General features: G+C 35.5%; 1 protein-coding gene across 64 annotated transcripts in view; it reads right to left on the minus strand.

The window, feature by feature from the left end:
• Positions 1-20,360, minus strand: part of INPP4B (inositol polyphosphate-4-phosphatase type II B) — an 823,376-nt gene that overhangs the window by 152,081 nt on the left and 650,935 nt on the right. For all 64 annotated transcript variants that reach the window (NR_169617.1, NR_169615.1, NR_169599.1 and 61 more), the window contains one exon: positions 17,847-17,955. Coding sequence is in view for 54 of the 64 variants with exons in the window: in NM_003866.3 (NP_003857.2) it covers positions 17,847-17,955 (109 nt within the window). In the remaining 10 variants the exon portion in view is untranslated. The remainder of the gene's footprint in view (positions 1-17,846; positions 17,956-20,360) is intronic.

Below are 20,360 nucleotides of genomic sequence, written 5' to 3' on the forward strand. Positions count from 1 at the left end.
CCTCATCTTGAAACCTCAGACACCACTAGGAAAAACTGACATCTAGGAAGCATGATCTGTTCTATTCTTCTCACACTAGTGATTTTTCAGGGGAAAATTATCAGAATCTTTAAGGAAACAATTTTTTTTTTGCAAACATATAATGAATATTCCTCCTATTTTATTTATTTACTTATTTAGTAAAAGATTAAAAGAAATGCACTTTGAGGCTTGGGCCATTCAGAAGATTGAACAAGAAGTCAATGAAGGTATCAGATTTATGAAGGCTAAGAAACGCATTACTAGTTTACTTGTAGACTTTTAAATGTCAGAAGTTAGGGGCTTCAGATAAAACATACCTTAATTTGCTATCATGTATGTCTTAATGCAAGTTAAAGTAAATGAAAAAAAAAATTGCAAGGAGGGGAAAGGAAACAGTAGTCCTAGCCAATTCTCTATGTCTCTTTCTGGCTTCTTGAGTGGTTGAGACAGATCTCATGCAGGAGTGTAGTAAGGACTTTACAAAAGAAATCATGAACTCAGGCTGGATGTAAAGTTTAATCCGTAACAGACTTTAATAAATCAAACAGCTCCACATTATTTTTGTAAAGAAAATGATTCTCTAAAGATACAGATGTGTCACCAGAATTTGAACAACTTTTGATACCCAGCAGCTCCAAGAGCAGAAAGCAGGACCTACTTACAGACCCAATGCAGAGTCATGTGGTCACTTCTATGTGATCCCTCTTTGCAGGTCTGCTATTCTGTGTCCATCAGAGATCGCTTCCTGTGTCCTCTTATGGCTATTTACAGGCTCCCCGTGGCTTAGCCTTTGGAAAGCTAGAATGCTCATGGCCTTGTGGGGTCTTCCATCTCTCTCTTCACATGACTGCTTTCTTTTATTATTATTATTATTATTATTATTATTATTATTATACTTTAAGTTCTAGGGTACATGTGCATAACATGCAGGTTTGTTACATATGTATATGTGTGCCATGTTGGTGTGCTGCACCCATTAAGTCATCATTTACATTAGGTATATCTCCTAATGCTATCCCTCCCCACTGCCCAAGGTAATTTATAGATTCAATGCCATCCCCATCAAGCTACCAATGACTTTCTTCACAGAATTGGAAAAAAACCACATGACTGCTTTCTGAATGTGTCTTCTCTGGCCTCTCATACACTCACTTCTATCCATTCCATTTTACTCCTATCAATATTGCCTTCCTTCTTTACTATTATTCTTTCCCAGAAGTTCACTGTTACTATTTTCCTGAATATTACTACTTTCATTATCAAATTCCCTGACAGTCTCCACTCCATTCTATTCTAATTCACACATTTCTAATATTTATTCTGCACATGTTCTTTATTCATGCCCTAGTTGAATGGTGCTCAAATTTTAGCAGTCACAATAAGATTTCCTTGGGGATGAGGACAGGGCCTCAATGTTTATTGAAAAAAATGCAGATTCCTTGGCAACATCTGCTAAGAGATTCTGCTTTAGTATGCTGTAGCACTTGTGACAAGCATCTCCAGAGATACCAACGCAGGGACGGAGCATCTTTAGAGACACCCTGTCATTGTTTTGACTGAGATCCCCTCTAAACCCTTGATCATGCTACACAAGGACTCTCATAAAAGTTCCTTCTTAAGGTATTCAAATTTTCTTAGCACCTTTTACAAGGCTAATTTTACAACCCATCTTATTCACAAAAGTTGCTTTGGTTCCCTCTTCATTACCAGTGTTTGCTCTCCTAACCTTTTTCATCATGATTTCATCTTTTCCCTCCCAATATATTCCCTTTCCTCTCCCCAATACATTCTTCAATCACCATGATGGGACATAATCCTAACTCCTGCCTCTTTCTCCTAATTCAGTCTCCTTTGGAGCAGAGTTGTGTAGCAGGCATCGGTTGTTCTGATGAAGTCTTTTTAACGATGAGCACCTCACCTACTGAGGCTGAAAGATTCATTTTCCATAATAAAAGCCAACGTTGGTGTCCAGGATGAAAGGATGAAATAGTATGGTATGGAAAAAAAAAATCACCACTCACAAAATAATTTTAAGTATACATAAATTTTATCTACCTATTCAGTGCCTTACTTTTCAAACATGTCATATATTTTAACAGTTATAGCTTCTTAAATGGGAAGTAATAAGTATAATTTAATTATCTAGATAAAAACAACATAACTAAACTCTATTTTATAGTAGTATGAAATTTAAACTGGATCCAAACACTTGAGTCAACGATCAATCAGATGACTCTGGAAGAAAGGCAAAATATTTACTTGGACAAAATATTTTATAGAATATAAATAGTACTGCAAAGCACAGATAATGAAAATTGAAATTAGTTTCATAATATTTTTCTATTGAGAGAGTGAATTAAAGTGTACTATATACTTTAATATATTCATTTAAATACGGTAATTTAATATATTTAATATTATTTTCATAAGAATGCACACCTACATCCCCATCCTCACGTTTGTGTGTGTATATGTTGTTACTATCCATGTCATATTTTGGAGATGTGAAAAAAATATAAAGCACATAATGAAGTAACATTCACATTCATAAGCTCTAATTGCTAACCAAAATACAATTAAAACAAGGACTTATAAATTCCTGAGTGTATATTTGTCCCAGTCCCTTTTTCCTGGTCTTCCTTATTTTCCTATCCTCTTGCTCCAAGACTCAGCTCTTGGAACTCTTTTGTCTATATGTCCCTCCTAAGTAATCTCATGGTTTAAATACACATGTTGCACTAATGATTTCCAAATCTCCATCTCTAGCCTGGACTTTCCCGCTGGACTCCAATGAAAACAAAAGCTCTCCTGTTCACAGCTCCAGCTTAACCTGTCCCAAACTGATCCCGAGATCTGCTCCCCACTTTCAACACCCAGCTCCTTTGCACTCTTCCCCATCTTAGATTATGGCAGGTCCATTTAATATTGTCTATGACTCTTTGTCTCTTATCTTTCATCCAACTTTTCAGAAAGTCTTGCCTTTTCCTTCAAAATATACCCAGAATCCAACCACTTATTTCTACACTTATTGCAACCACCCCAACATTTCTACCACTAGGATTATTGTAATAGCTCACAAACTGGTTTCCGTATCTCTATACTTAAACTTATCTATTGCAAGATAAATAATACTCTCAGATATTGAAGTCCTTGACTTATGGTTAGGGTTTGAAGACGGCAGGAGGCAGACAAGAAGAGAAATATAATTTATTTTCCTTAACTCCTTGACCACAAGTGCACATTGTGGGACTTACTCTGTTACTTATCCATCCTTTCCCTTCCCACTCCATTGCTACCTCCACTCCTTAATCTGTTTGCTCAACCAAGCTACTATTTTATGCAGTGGAGCCATTAAAAAATAGAGATGAGAGATGATTAACAGGCAAGGAGAAAAACAAGAAGGAAAAGACAGGGAAGGTGGGACATGAACAGAAGGGGATTAGGATTGGTGAGTTTAGGGAAAAATGACTTAGAGTGGTGTGTCTCTTCTCCTGTGGCAGAATTAAGTGTCCAGAGAAAAAAAAATCTAGAACTATTTCCACTTGTTTTTTTCTAGCTCAAACCCTACTTGTAAAAAAAAAAAAAAAAATGTGGTCTCTTGAATCCAGAGGAAGGAATATATATGCTCTCAGTTCTGACTGAGAAGAAAATAATATGGATCACAAAAGAAAATTCACACTTTAGTGTACTTAAATATACCCTTCTGGTCTCACAGGGTTTAATAACGGGCTTCATGCCTCTCTGCTTTCCCCAATGCACCCTTTCCATTTTCTACTGGAAGTGGGGTTTGGAGAAAAGAATTAGAAAAAAACAAAACAAAACAGTATTTTACCTCTTTTGGATTTCACTTACATAATTAAATGAGTTATATGATCTGTACTTAAATTGATATTTACCTTTACTCCTGTTTTAAACAAATCACAGTTTTGGGCTGGGCGCAGTGGCTCACACCTGTAGTCCCAGCATTTTGGGAGGCCGAGGTGGGCAGCTTGCCTGAGTTCAGGAGTTCAAGGCCAGCCTGGAAAGCACAGTAAAACCCTGTCTCTACTAAAATACAAAAAATTAGCCAGGTGTGGCAGCATGCACCTGTAGTCCCAGCTACTCAGGAGGCTGAGGTAGGAGAATTGCTTGAACTCGGGAGGTGGAGGTTGCAGTGAGCCAAGATCGCCCCACTGCACTCCAGTGAGGGCAACAGAACAAAACTCCATCTCAAAAAAAAAAAAAAAAAAAGGTTTCATGAAAATTTTAGAATCAAAGAGTGTTGTGATCAAAAGTTGATTCTGCCATTTATTAGCTCTGTGAAAAAAAAAACATTCATTTTTGCTGAAAATTCCCCCTCTAAGAAAATGTGTTTACTGGTTCAGAACACAGTGGCTTCTACTATTCCACTTTTTAGTTTGCAAGTTCTTACTTGTACTTTCTAAACCAATGAAACGTCTTTTTTATGTACATCCTTTATTTAGTCCTATTCTTGCTTTAATTCAAATTTTCCAGGTACTATTATATGACCTTTAAATAAGCAAAGTCCAGTGTGCTTTATTTCCTTTCCTGGCCTATTCCCACTTATCCACGAGTTCACTTGCTTTGATTTCGTTTGCCACCTTCCAAGGTCTAGTCAGTTCTATTTCTGCCTAGTTTGACTTCTGGTATTTTCATGTTGTCCCTATGGAGATAATACCCAAACCTGGTCTCCTGATTCCTTCCAACCTCAAAATCTTCTCAGCTTCATCCTAGACCTTATGCCCTAATATACTTGATCAAAGTACAGAGTAAGAAAGGTCCAGGAGTAAAAATCATACCCCAATACTCTGCAAATATAAAAGTTCCTTTGACTGCAAACAGGCATGAGAGACTTTTTTGGGGTGACAAAAATGTCCTAAAATGGGATTGTGATGATGACTGCACAACTCTGTAAACTTACTAAAAATCTTGGAATTATATACTTATAATAGTTCATTTTTATTCTAGACAAACTATACTATAATAAATTTCTTTTAGAAAAAACAAATCTTTCCAACATATGATATTATAGACTAATGATTATGATTCTGGAATAAGAATACAAAAAAAACAGAAGGTACATATACAAGCCATTTTATTTTTTTCCATGTTAAATCTGACAATACTTTAAGAGAGTGCCTAATAAAGCCAATATTTTATACTGTATTTATCCTAATAATTTAAATCTCCTCCTCTATCACTTTAATAGATAATAATCATTGGGTACATATATGCTATGGGCCTAGCATTACGTTAAATGCTAGTTTTTCAGGGATTATATTATTTAATTTTGACAACAACCCTCTGAGGAACAAATATTAATTCAAGATGTAGAAATTGAAGCCTGAGTAGGTTAAGTAACTTGACTTGGATCACACAAACTAGCATAGATGGTAAAACCAGGTTCAAACCCGGGTTTTCATTGTTACACAGTTTGAACTCCTAATTATGTTTTACTATCTCTTGAACATAGTATCAACCCATTTTAAATTTGGAAAAATTAAAATGCTATAACTAATATGGGAAACATTTTTAATTGAATAAGTATTGCTTATAAATATTAAAAATATAATTAAAGACGTTCTCACCTAATTAAAACAAAGTTCATTAGAGATGTATGATTCTATTTTGTAACACAAATTAAAGAATTTCAGAATTGTCTCACAGTAAATTATTTTCAACAAATATTTAATAACTACTACTCAGTCAATGAATTAAGGAAAGCAAAAAACCAGGGGTACTCAAGGTAATCAGTGGATCATGTGTGATGATGCCAGCCCACTAAACGCTACATGAAGGGCTGGTAGTAAGAAAGAAGAAAAAGGGAAAAACTATTTTGTCTGAGTCTTCTTCCCATAAGAGCTTGCAAACCTAAGGCTTTATCTAGATGCTTGGTGTCTATGAATATCCTGAGGACAGCTGTAGTTTCAGGGCTTGCTTACTAACCACTCTGCATTGAAGTTCCTTCCATTCCTGAGACGAAGGGAAAAGGATGGCACATTGCATCCAACTGTTCTAGGTACTCTGAGATTGCAGAATGTTTTTGTTACCTAGTTTCCGTATTTGCTGGAAGTAGAAGTTGCAAAAAGATTTTATGAAAACATTTCTCTTATTTTACAACTAAAAAAAAAGGAGGAAAGACAAAACAAACATTCAAAAATAAATATAACTGTATTTATCTGTGGCATTCTAACTTATTAACCTTTCCAACACATTCACTGATATGTCTAGATTGATGTCTTCTGCATACATGTCATACTTTCTTTCAGGCACATTGTTTACATTCAGCTCTACATACCTCATAATCCACCGAATAACTGAAATGGCTACATAATGTTCAACTTTAGCGATGCAGAATAGTTTGCTTATTCATTCATTCATTCATTCATTCAAAATGCTTATAATATTTTACTATTATGAATGGTAATCTTTGAACAACTCCGAGAAATTTACTTCTTTTATTTTTATTGTGGCCATATTCCTAAAAAAGTGGTGTTCCTTAAGTGTATTTGAGAGGGCTGCAGATAGAAAACTGATAAGGCTGGAGCTTTAAAAATATTTTTACTGACTACTAGGCAGAACGATTTTAGGCAGATTAATATAGTAATTGACTCTGAGTGCAAATCACCACATCAATTCACATGTTTTTTAATAGCACAAATAATTTATTTTAAAAATTATATTCTCTTAAAGACCCATAAGGAATTGACTAGACCAACTACATTTTATTTCTCTCTGGTGGATAGCAAAATCCCTTCCTAAGCTAACATTGCACACTTATTAAGAGGATGTCATGTGTTGAACATCTTTTGACTGCTTGAGGGTAAATGAGTATGGAAGAAGAACTTGAGACTAAGGACAGAAGTCTAATTTTCTAGCTCTGGTTCTGTCATTAGCTGCATTGGTGACTCAATCGTTGGTCCTTGGTATTTTCATCAATAAAATAAGTAGGAGAATTCATGGTCTCTGGGATCCTCTCTAAGTTCTATGATTTAAAAGATTCTTGGCCGGGCACGGTGGCTCACGCCTATAATCCCAGCACTTTGGGAGGCTGAGGTGGGCGGATCACGAGGTCAGGAGATTGAGACCAACCTGGCTAACACGGTGAAACCTCATCTCTACAAAAAATACAAAAAATTAGCCGGGCGTGGTGGCAGGTGCCTGTAGTCCCAGCTACTTGAGAGGCTGAGGCAGGAGAACTGCTTGAACCCGGGAGGCGGAGCTTGCAGTGAGCAGAGATCACGCCGCTGCACTCCAGCCTGGTGACAGAGCGAGACTCTGTCTCAAAAAAAAAAAAACAAACAAAAAAAAGATTCTTAATGTGAAAAACAGCACGGACTCAACATGATTATTTTCTTATTTCTCAAAATGTCTCTTTAATGGAGTATAAACAACTGACCTTATTAATTAAGCAATGGAAATGAATGGCTTATTTCCTGTATCCCCTTTCTCAGCTGTCTTGGCATTTACCCGGTTATAGAAACCAGAAACCTAAGAGTCCTTCAATCCTGCCCAGGCTCCCTCAAGCCCTCAGCCAACTGGATGTAAATTCTGTTAGATATTTCCTTAAAATCTTCAACTCCCCAGGTACCTGTTTTCCCTCATGCAACTATTATAATAGTCTAATTGTTTGCCATTCTTCTGTTCTCTCTACACTGTCACTCCAAATACTATGATCACGGCAATCTTCAGCTGAAAACCTACCAATTGCAGTATCCATAGCCTATAGGGTGAACTGCCAGGAGCTGACATAGCAAATAATTGTTTAAGATTTGGTCCTTGCTCCCTGCCCAGCCTAACGTCCTTTCATACTCTCCTACACTCTAGAAGCTGCTCTGTGTTGCTGGAGTTTATAAGCCAAGGGGCAGTGAATGGCACTATCATTCCCCAGATGTATGTGGGAGTCTTCCTTGATACCTCTGGGTTCTTACCTCCACTCCTAACACACATACAACCCCCAAGTTGCCCCTAAATACCTCTGTAATTTATCTTCTCTCCATCTGTGCTGACACTATAAGCCAATCCATCTTCCTTCTCTGATGGGGTTACCACAATAATCAATTATTAATGTAAGCCTCATCACAAGGAAGAGGACATTGAAATAATTCAGGCAAAGTCCCCTCTAATAAAGATCTTGCAATAACAGTATTTATATCATGTAACACAGCCAAGTGTTTGATTTTTCCATGACATAAATTCCATATGTACATTTTTTTAAAGTTTGAGATGTTCTACACTTAGCTTTCAAAGCTCTGAAAAATATAGTATATTTTATTTGTAGATGACTGGCAATTTATTTATAGATGACTTTTCTGCTGTATGCTGCCTTTGCAATGATGACTATTAAATATCTAGAACAACAGACAGCTTTAAAAATATTCTGGAAATCACTTGGAGTTTAACAAGTTCAAAAGTTCCTCCTTGGATTCAGTGAATACTTCTGAGATAACATACTGTGTCATGGTTTAAAATGTTGTTTCAGTTTGCAGCAAAGGAGAAACGTAACTTCTAATTTACAGAAAATAAATCCTCAAATCATATTATCTTTATATATTTAGTTTTAAAAATAAACAGACAAAATGTATTTTTTCTGTAATTTTCATATTAGACTTAACATTTTTACTTTTAAACCCTAATCTTCTTGTTGATTTTTTTTTCTGATATATCTCTAGGTGTACACATGTAGCCACAGCTATAGTGAAGACAAGAAAATCCAAGAGTGGTTATGTATTTTGTCATTTTCAGACTGCCTTCTTCACCAAATTTGATATCATTAAAAATTTGGGGACAGTTTAGCAAACACATTTTGTCATTTACAATTAAAGTCATTTCCTTTAAAATAAATATTCAATTTTTTAAAATTCTGAACTGTCACACTATATATAGTGCCTCTTGCCTAAATATCAGATCATTCTTTGCCTCACAAGCTTTTGGACAGGTTGTTGGAAGAATGTCACAACTTGGAGGTGTTAAAGTCACTATTGCATTACTGATATTGAATCAGGTTTTTAAGTTAGCCATCTTTATATAAATTGTCTCCCTTCTTCTTTCGGAAGACGTAAAAGTATATTTTCCCTAGCTAGTGAGGTGCAAGGAAACACTAATGTTATACCTGCCAAATAGTTGTTTTCAAAGCCTATAAGACATTTTCCACAAGTGTCTTTTTGTTTCTGTTTCTTTTTCCTAATTCCACAAAAAGTCTCTGTGTCTGCTACCTAATTCTATCACACTGATCTCTTCTGCAGGCATAGTCATTGGTTCTTCCCTTTATTCTTATGGCAGGCAACACTTTGATGTTACTCATTCATTCCCCCATATATATATCCATTCATCAAACTCTTTTCAAGTTAGGTCCTGGGGATACTGTGGTAAACTGGACAGACATGTTTCATATTCTCAGAGCACATACAGTCTAGAGGGATTTTGTACACTGGAGACTTAAAGCAGACTTGGCTTAGACAAGGAGTCAGAAGAAGCTTCCAGGCAGAAATGATTTTAAGTTAAGATCTGTGGTGGTGAGAAAGTTCTCTTCTGGTTCACTATGGAGGGTAGAGGGGAGGGAAAGATGATGGTGTCATGGTGCAAGATGAAGCTGGAGAAGAAACCATGGCCAGAACACATGTATATATTATTGCACCTTAGATTTTCTCCTGCAAGCAAGAGGCAGCAAAGAAATTTTTAAAATTATGAAACACAAGAATATTTGCCTTTAAGAAATATAATTCCAACCAAGATAAGGATAACTGATTGGATGAGAGCCAGTCTGGAAGGAAGGACGGTAATTAAGAGGTTTGGTAGTAGAATATTTAAAAGACAGTGGTTCTATGTGCTAGGATTATCTTAACCCATGTTTCATTATTAAAATGCATAACTTCCAGATATATAAGAAAGTAAATTAATTTTAAGTGAAAGCAAGGGAGAAAAAGTTGTCAAGGATTTTCAGGTGCTACATTGAACAGTGGGGTGGATGGTCATACCTTTTTATTAAGGAAAATAACCCCCAAAAGAAGCAAGTTTGAGAGCCAAAGGGATGCAAAATGATTCAATATCTCAATCTTGAGGTGTATGGAAGATATGAGTAAAGTGGAGCTACCTGCTAGATATATATTTATAAATATATATGTGTATGTGTGTGTGTATATATATATATATATATATCTCATCAGCCATACTTCTACTTCACACGTGAATAATATCCAAACTCAGTACTCAAGACTGAATGAGAAATTAGGCATATTATGCATATTAATACAACTTTTTGGTGGTATTACTTCTAAAATTTAACTACCTCTTAACTAAGAAATCTTAGTTTCTTAGTTAAGAAAGAAGTCCTCTTGGCCGGGCGCGGTGGCTCATGCCGGTAATCCTAGCACTTCGAGAGGCCGAGGCGGGTGGATCACGAGGTCAGGAGACAGAGACCATCCTGGCTAACACGGTGAAACCCTGTCTCTACTAAAAATACAAAAAATTAGCCGCGCGTGGTGGCAGGTGCCTGTAGTCCCAGCTACTCGGGAGGCTGAGGCAGGAGAATGGTGTGAACCTGAGAGGCGGAGCTTGCAGTGAGCCGAGATTGCGCCACTGCACTACCTCCTGGGCGACAGAGCAAGACACCATCTCAAAACATAAAAAAAAAAAAAAAAGAAGTCCTCTTAACTAAGTGTAGTTATACTAAATGTAGGAATTTATCTAGAAGAAACACCTAGAAATTTGCAAAGATATATGAATAAGGATATACCTTGCAAGCGCAGGTGGTTCTAATCAAAAACTTAGAAACAATCTAAATGACCATCAATGGTGTATTGGTTAGATAATTATGTTAAATCCAATCAATAAAATCCTACTTAGTTTTCAGAAAGAATAAGATTTACATGCACTAAATTGAGAAACTGCCTAAACATTTTTTGTGGAAATATATCCTTTCTATATATTTACATAAATAATAGCTAATATCGATTAAGACTTCATCATGTGCCAGGCACAGTTATAAATGCTTAGCATATATAAACTCATCAAATTTTGGAAACCACCCTCTGGGGTAAGCACTATTATTTCCACTTTACAGATGAGGAAACTAAGGTACAGAAAGGTGTGGTAATCTGACTAATGTCACAAAGACAGTATGTGACAATCAGAATTCAAATCTACACTGGGAGCGGAGTCTATGAATTGTCTGAGATGAAAGTTTCTGCCTGTTCCAGAATGGAGGACAGAAAAATTAAACAGAGTTACAGAAAAGTCAAGAACATTACATTCTCAACATTTGTGTTTGTGGGCTAAGAGAATCACTGCTAAAACTTAAATAATTTGACATTACAAGACGAAATCTTGCTGCAAAATAGATTAAACTGCTCAGATTGGTTTATTTTAAAGAAGAGGACTAGAACAGGTAGGATTTCAACTATACAAGCCTCTTTATTCTTTGAATTTGTGGGCCATAAACAAATTTTGTTTTTGTATACAGCTACAATGAAAATAAAAAAGGAGGAAAAACTGCATTACAAATTCACTTATTACAAATTCACTCAGGATCATGTGAAATTGAGCAAAAATCCTTCCATTTACTTAGTACCACATTTAGTTCAAAGCTTTGCAGGCCTCATTATTTACTTCATACAGTATGTTCAAGCCTCAGCATGACTACTTAATTAAAAGCACTTTACTCTCTCTCTATGAAGATTTGGTGTTATATACAAGGAGTTGTATATAGGAAAGTCCACATGGAGAAGAGAAACCTGGTGGGCAGTTTTGGCAGACCTAGCCCGTATTTGCCAAAATATGAACAGTTAAGAGCTGAGAGTAGCCAACAAGGAACTAACTCACAGGAGGAAAAAAAAAATGTACTCCCAAGGAATCAAATTATAATCAAAAGAAAAACTTTAATTACCATCTCCTTCAAAATGATATATTGTCAGCTACTGAACACAGTCCAAAAGAAAAAAAGGAACTGACAGGGGCTTTTATTTAAATTATTCTTATTTCTAGAGTGCCCATGTAATTTTACCATAATTTTTAAAAGAAAATTTTGTGACAGAGAATGTTCTTTCTGAAAAGAAAAAAATAAAGTATATTTTAATTGAAATATACTTTATTGAAATATTGAAAATGAATAGGAGATAAATTTTAGCTATAGCCTACGAGACTGACATTTTTAAATTTGGAGTATTGGGAATGACTTCCAACGAAACACAAAGATGAAAGTTGTTTTATAAATGAAGAGTATTATATTCATATTATGTGTATGTGTGTGTGTCTGTGTGTGTATATCTATCTATATATAAATATATATACATTTGCATACCATATATATATACACACATACACACACACACAGACACACATTTTTTTTTTGAGACAGGGCCTCCCTCTGTCACCTAGAGGCTGATGTGCACTGGGGTGATCTTGGCTCACTGCAACCTCCACCTTGCAGGCTCAAGTGATCCTTCCACTTTAGTCTCCCAAGTTTCTGGAACTAAAGGCACATACTACCAAGCCTGACTAATTTTTGCACTTTTTTTGTAGAGACAGGGTTTTGCGATGTTGCTCAGGCTGGTCTCAAACTCCTGAGCTCAAGCCAACCACTGGCCTCGGCCTCCCAAAGTCCTGGGATTACAGGCATGAGCCATCATGCCTGGCCTATATTATGTATATAACTTTAAAATTAGTCATTTTAAACAGTTTTGCCGTTTCAAATTTTTAACAGAAAAAAATATAAGGATGTAGATTATATGTGGGAAAAAAAGACTGGAAGAGAGCACCCAGTATGCTACCAGTAATTGCTGTTAAGGAGGAATATTACAAGTATGATTTTAATCTCTGTCTTTTGATTTTTCCATTTTCCAATAAGCATATTTCTTTACAAAACTGGAAAATTATCAGTTAAATTATTTATTAAAATATATATCAATAAAGGATCAAAGTATTTCTACTTAAAATATATATGGCTTGGTCGGGCACATTGGCTCATGCCTGTAATCCCAACACTTTGGGAGGCTGAGGCGGGTGGATTACGAGGTCAGCAGATCGAGACCATCCTGGCTAACACGGTGAAACCCTGGCTCTACTAAAAATACAAAAAATTAGCCAGGCATGGTGGCGGGCACCTGTAGTCCCAGCTACTCGGGAGGCTGAGGCAAGAGAATGGTGTGGACCTGGAAGGCAGAGCTTGCAGTGAGCGAAGATCGCACCACTGCACTCCAGCCTAGGCGACAGAGTGAGACTCCATCTCAAAAAAAAAAAAAAAAAAAAAAAAGAAAAAAAATATATATAGCTTGACTTATGAGTTCATACAAAATAGTAAGCATAGTTAAGATCTTAGACTCCAAATTGCACTGTCAGTGACTGACAAGTCAAAGGTCTAAGTGGAGTCTAGGGATCATGCTAGAAATAGAAAAAAAAAAATCCAAGTAGGGAAAAAAAGAATTACCATCCCCAATCAAATAATATGATCACATTGCTTTCATTGAATGCTTTCAAATCACTCTCTCTCTTTCATAAAAAGAAATAAAAATTTTTATTCTTAAGAATGGAAGTGAAGGTGATTAAAACAAATATTTTTGTAACTAGTGATTAGTCTGCTCATTTGTTACTGGAGAAGGCATAGAAATGTGAATTTATGTTTTGCATCTCCCAAATTAATTAGTGGTTAATAATTCTATCAGAAAAACACATTTCAAAGGTAACAGTATAAGGTTTTGCCTCTAGTTCTCCCATTCCTGGTTTATCGGATGTCTACTATGTTATAGGTTATGGACAGCTTATTTGCCTGATATGATTTTCCCCTTTTTATGCAAAAAGTCTCCTATTTATAATAGAGAATAAGAAAATATCTACCCTTATTCCTCCTTACAGTAGTAAGAAAACTTCTCAGTCCCAGAGTTTTTGCCCTGTGACTGTGTAACCACTGATCTTATAGGTGACAAGGCTTCTTTAGCTCTGTGTTGTTGTTTGCAGTGGTCTGTGATTCTAGTGGGCAGCCAAGGTTGGTAACCCCTGCTCTCTATATTATTAATCTTATTGCATTATGATTATTTGTGAAACTTTTTCTCCCATTCTAGTTTTTAGCACTTTTAAGTCAGCAACTATATCTGATTTCTATGTGAATTCCAATGCCTGTTGTATTTGATCTATAGCATACTTATATATACAAGGTGCTCCATCTCTTATTCAAGAAAAGCACAATGTATTACAGAAACGGCATACAAGAAAAAAACCTAATACATTACTGTGGCCTAGTAAGGCTACAAGAGAAGCAAAAGTAAAATATTAGGGAGGAGAGCCAAATCAACTTGAAAAATCAGGAAAGCCTAATTATAAGGGTGAAATCTTCACATGGACCATGTGTAGAATTTTGAATAGGATTATGTAAATGGCTTTCACAGAAAGAAATGAAAAATAGTAGAAAATGAGGAGAACAGAATAAAAGGAAACAGAACGAGGAAAAAGGAAAAGGTATAAATACATGAAGCCCACTTAGGAAATAGTTTATATAGCGTTTTAGAAACAACAATAGAAGAAGTGGGTGATGAGGGTAGACACTGGTGGGCAAAATCATGGATGCTTTGAATGCCCAGTGGATAAGTATGGACTCCTCAAAGTTCCTAAGCACAAGAGTAAGGTACTCAGAAACTGTGCTTTAAAAGTTCAGTCTCCCTAATTATCTTGTAATTTTAATAAATATGGTTGTATGACCTGAATTGCTTTATATAAATACTATAAGCAATGTTCTTATGCTAAACCCTTTTCATTATGTGGCCAATGTATTAATCACAAAAGAGATCATCAAGGGACATAAATTATATCTTTTCTCAGATGACAGTATTTTATTGGCTTAGCTGAGAAAAAAATAAACAAAGGTGAAATAGTACAGTGGCTGTGGTAGTTCCCAAAAAACCTGGTCTAAAAGACTTGGCTATCTGGGTTTTTTATTTGTTTGTTTGTTTATTTTTGTTTTTTTTTTTTTGGTGGGGGGCAATATCAAATGAAAGATGAGGCAAAGAAAAATTTCCTCACTTGTGATTTCATGTCCTGCAAAATGTCACTGTTTACTTTAACCTAAAGCCCAAATTACTCATTTCATATAGTCATTTTTACTTCTATACATTGCTGTTGACTGACGTGCAATATTTGTTGCTGAAAAAGCCTGCAGAAAAAGTATTGGCATGGTGCGATAACTCTGTAATCATTAAGTCTCTGCTCAAGTCAGCTCTTAATTTAACGGGTAGGCTGATAGCCATGCTCACCAGTATATTGCCTCAGCAAGCTGTATTTGTCTCAAACCACTGCCCTATGGAGAATTCTTTTAAGATCCACAAAGTTGTTTTTTATTTCTTTTAAAATCTTTATTGTATTTTATCCATAAAGCAATGAAACACAAATGAAAAATTTAAAGCAATCAGTGTTTGCAAGCATTGAACATGTTTCTACTTTTATCTTAAAATTAACCCAAGATCTGTAAGAGTGTGTGTGTGTGTGTGTGTGTGTGTGTGCGCGTGTGTGTTGATATGTAACATCCCAGTGAAAAGTGAAGAAAAATGAAGGAAAATATTTATGCAAATATTTAAACCTTAAGAAATATTATTCAGAGTCTAACCACAGAACTCAACAGTTGTCTTTAACAGAAATATGTTTCATAAAATTAGAGGGTTAGGTTCCATATTTCACATACTGATGCTTTCTATGCTCAACAGGATTCTGACTACCCTATGGGCAGTTTTGAGTCTTCTAATTGGGTTATACACTTTAAAATTTAATTGAGGAAAAAAAATAGATTAAGTCAACTCTCAAGACTGAGACACAGTTCCAGACAAGATGAAGTAAATGCAATCTATTTTACTTCCCCTGTTAATCACAATGAAACACTCTAGACAAAACATATATGTCACCTATCAAAAGACTCTAAAAGGTAGACTAAAGGAGGTATATTGGTTAGGGGCCTCAGGACTTAAGCAATGATATTACAGTGAGTTCCACGGGATTTTTCTTGCCTTCTATAATGTCCCAAACTGGGTGCCACAGAATTTCTCAATGCAGCAAAGCACCAACAAAAAACAGCACCCAGGGAAAGCCAAAGAACCTGGAACAGGGTGGCCCAGCCATACCAACCTGTTCTGGGGGTGAATACCACAAAAATGTCATGCTCCTCCCCCACTAGAAGAATGGTACAGTAGGGAATCAGTGAGAAACACCCTTCATCCCCACTCAGATTCCATGGGCAAAACCCTGTCTTCCACTCATACCCCCACATCAGTAGGGATGGCATCCCTTCCCCCATGGGGCCTATGGTTTGAATTAACTTCCAACTCCCATAAAGTAAATAGGAGATGCCTCTCCCCTGCAGAGCCCATGGTTGAAACTTTGGCTTCCACTCCCCATTGCAATAATATTTGTGAGAAGGGTGTGAATATTAATGGGTAACCTGAGGGAGTTTCTTTGTGGTGATGAAACAGTTCTATATGATGTTTATAATAGTGATGGTTATTCTAATCTACCCATGCAATATAATTTTATAAAACTATAAACCTTTCCCCACCAAAAAGCAAACAAAAATGAACAAAAAACTAGAAAAATCAGAATAAGAACTACAACTGAGTTAATATTGTACCAAAGTCAATTCCTTAAAAGGAAAAAAGAAAAATATATGTGTATTGGTAGTTTATATATTTGTATAATAGTAAGTCAATTATTCAATTCTAACCTCCTTTAAATGCTTTCTTCCTAAACATCTGGGCACCAAAAAACAAATTTTATATTTGATAAATGTGATAAAACGTTAAAAAATTTTCTGGTTTTGGCACTCAAACAGGTTTTCTAATACTATTACTAAATCAACTGTGACTAAAGAATGACTATTTTTCCCTAACTTTCAAAATTTGGATTCTTCAACAGACACCAGGACCTACTTAAGGGTGGAGGGTGGAGGAGGGTGAGGATTGAAAAACTACCTATTAGATACTACGCTTATTACTTCGGTGGCAAAATAACCTGTACACCAAATCCCTGTAACATGCAATTCACCATGGTTAAAAAAAAAAGAAAGAAAAAAACCTGCACACATACCCTTGGAATCTAAAAGTAAAAAAAAAAAAAAAAAAAAATGGGATTCTTAAGAAGAATAACTATTTGAAAAGGAAAGTAGTTATTCTTCATACCTGGATAATGCACTTTATGTTTTACATGAGCGTGGTCATAGCCAGAGAATATTATAGGATAACCCCAACTGATAAGACATGGGGGAGAATAATAAACTACTGCTGCAAAAGCTTTATAAGGCAATATTTAAAAGCATGTAAAAACAAAAACTGGGGAAAGAGTATATCAAAATTATAAATAATAGTGGTAATACTCATGCCTTTCCCTAAGAAACAGAACATAGAATTCTGTATTGTTGTGTCTTTTTCAAGTGGCACAATTAAATGTGCCTCAGGCCAGCATGGAAATTACTAGTAGGGTAAAAATCATAAATTAGGAGCCATATTCTCCATTCAGTATCTTTGGCTCCACAGTGAAGTCAGACTGTATTTCTAGCTAAATCTCTGAACACTCCTTTGAGCAAGCAATAGTTGACACTAGAATATCACCCCTTAGTCATATGACTTCCAGAAGATTTTCTGCCATCACAATGCCACTAACTAAGCAAGACACTTAGGCAATTTGTTTAATCTAATTTCTTCTCTGGTAGTTTTGAGATATTTAACAACTCTATGTTACTAAATAGGTTAAGATGTCAAGAACTATACATTGTGATGGACCAATCACCTTGTATATAGACTTCCCCAAAGGGGAGATGTTATTAATGGAATCTGTGCTTTCCTCCTGTCTTTACTTACTTTCTTCTTTCTGTTTCAAATCTATGGAGTAGCTTCCGAAGACCACCATTCTTAAATCCCTGAAAATGGGCAGCTGGGGCTCCCACAGTGATGACATCGTAGAGAGCATCTGGAGTAGAAACAGACAAGGAGATGAACACTTTGCAAACATTTATCTCCGTCATGCTGTTTGCATTGAAGCATACCTATTGTAGGAAGTATGAGAAATTATTCTGTTTAATTTTTTAGGAATAACTATGAACTCACATCTCAAGGGGGAAAGAGGAGCTAATAATCAATCTTTCTAAAAGCCACCTGTGCACCTAAACAAGATATAATGTTTTCCTGATTTATGACTACATCTTAATTACATGCTACAGTGTAGAACAGTGTGTTCTCTCATTATTCTATATACTTACTGAGATAACATGTTAATTGCTCTTTTGTGTATTTTACTTCATTGAGTTTTGCATCATTTAATTTGCAATCATGTTGAAATTCAACAATAACGAACAATCTTTCAACCAAATTTTACATAGAAAAAAAACCCAAAATATTAAGCATTTTGACTCAAGGGCAGATTAGTACTAGTGCATTTTAAAAAATCTATACAGAGTACTTTCCTGATTGTGTATACTAAATTTTACACAATTTCAAATAGATGCTTTTGCAATTTCCTTAGGTGACATAGAAAGAATACACAAAATGTTTCTTGTTCTGTTTTCTAGTAAGACACTTTGTTTTTATAACAAAAAATCCATACACTTAAATTGAAACTTAATCCTTTGATCTTGAAAGCCATGAAGTTTGATACATATTAAGTTTATGGCTTCAAAACATGCCATCATTTTTACATTCTAATGCAAAGTATCCCCATAAGAAGGAAGACAGTGAATGCTTTCTTGCTAAACTACATTTTATTTGAGAAACCTAATTTCATAGTAGATCCTTTTCAAATTGATTTTGCTATTGACACTTTGGTTGCTCTTCAGATCTCATTTACGAGGAAAACATAAATTATTTTATTAGCTTCAGGTAAATACCATAACTTCTTCAGAGTAGTTCAATCCAGATGCATCTAAAATTTTCTTTCAATAAAAAAAGTCTTCAAGTGAAAGATGTCAGCAGCATTCAGAAAATGCAAGATCACAAGAAAGAATACAACACAAACCAACCCGTCAATAAGGCATACAATGAAAATCACTTAATAGTTCACTGTGTCCTCTTTAAAAAGTCACTAATAAACTAGAAGTCAGCTCTTATTAAGATAGCAGAACATTAGATCTGTAAGAAATTTAAATATTTTCTAGTCCAGGGGATTTTAACCTAGGGCTAAGACACTGGTTTCAGGGTGTCCAAGAATGTTTGTTAATTACATAATTACATCTGTTCTATGTCATGGAAAGGCATCACAGCTTTCTCAAAGGCTCAAAAGATCACCCCAAAGTTACCAACATTATGTTCTAGTCTACCTTCATTTATCTGATAAGAATCCTGAGGATCACTACAAGCTAACTGCTTTGTCCATTTATCTGATAAGAAGGCTGAGGATCATTAGAAGTTAACTGCTTTGTCTAAAACCCCAAGGATTTTACACTCAGGGACTTCTGGCTTCTAACTCAGTGACAGAGAGTCAGTGTTCCCTGGTGGTTTAAGTTACTGATGGGAACCTGAGTCGCTGGCTTTGGATTCCTGATCTGCCACTTATTTAACTTCTCTATGTCTCAGTTTCCTTACCTATAAATTGTAGTTGAAAGTAGCTAAAAGTGGTAAGCATTTAGTAAATGTTATCTACGATTATTATTTTCTGTATAAGAAACTATCCCACCAATAAAGGTGTCTATATCCCCATAAAAATAAACTTTTGAGTCTGAAAAGAAAAATGATGCTGGGGCTCAGTCTTCTGAATGGAATGAGTTCCCATGTTAATTTAAATGCAAAAAGACAAATTATCATGACAATGCAACAAAATATGCGGCATTTCTGCCAAAAACTGGGTGACCAGCAATACCAACAATATACAGAATGACTAAAAATATTATTCAGCCTTTAAAAAGATGGAAACTCTGCCATCTGCAACAAAACGAATGAGCCTGGAGAACAATATGCTAAGTGAAATAAGCCAGTTCCAGGACAAACACTCCACTTGCATGAGGTTTTCAAAATAGTCAACCTCATAAAAGCAGAGAATATAATGGTGGCTGTCAAGAAATGGAGAGGGGGAATGCAAAGTTGTTATTCAATAGGCATAAAGTTTTAGTTATGCAAAATAAGTTCCAGAGATATGCTGTATAACATAGTGCCTATAGTTAATAACACTGTATTATTTACTTAAAAATGTATTAAGAGGGTATATCTCATGTTAAGTGTTCTTAAAACAGCATCAACAACCAAAAAAAGGCCACAAAAAAACCTTTTAGACTTGATGGATTTGTCTGTTACCTTAATTGTGGTGATAGTTTCATGCGGGTATGCCTACGTCCAAATTCATCAAGTTGTAAAAATATATGCAAGTTTTTCTAGGTCAATTTTACT

This window comes from Homo sapiens, chromosome 4 (assembly GCF_000001405.40).
Source record: "Homo sapiens chromosome 4, GRCh38.p14 Primary Assembly".
NCBI lineage: Eukaryota > Metazoa > Chordata > Mammalia > Primates > Hominidae > Homo > Homo sapiens.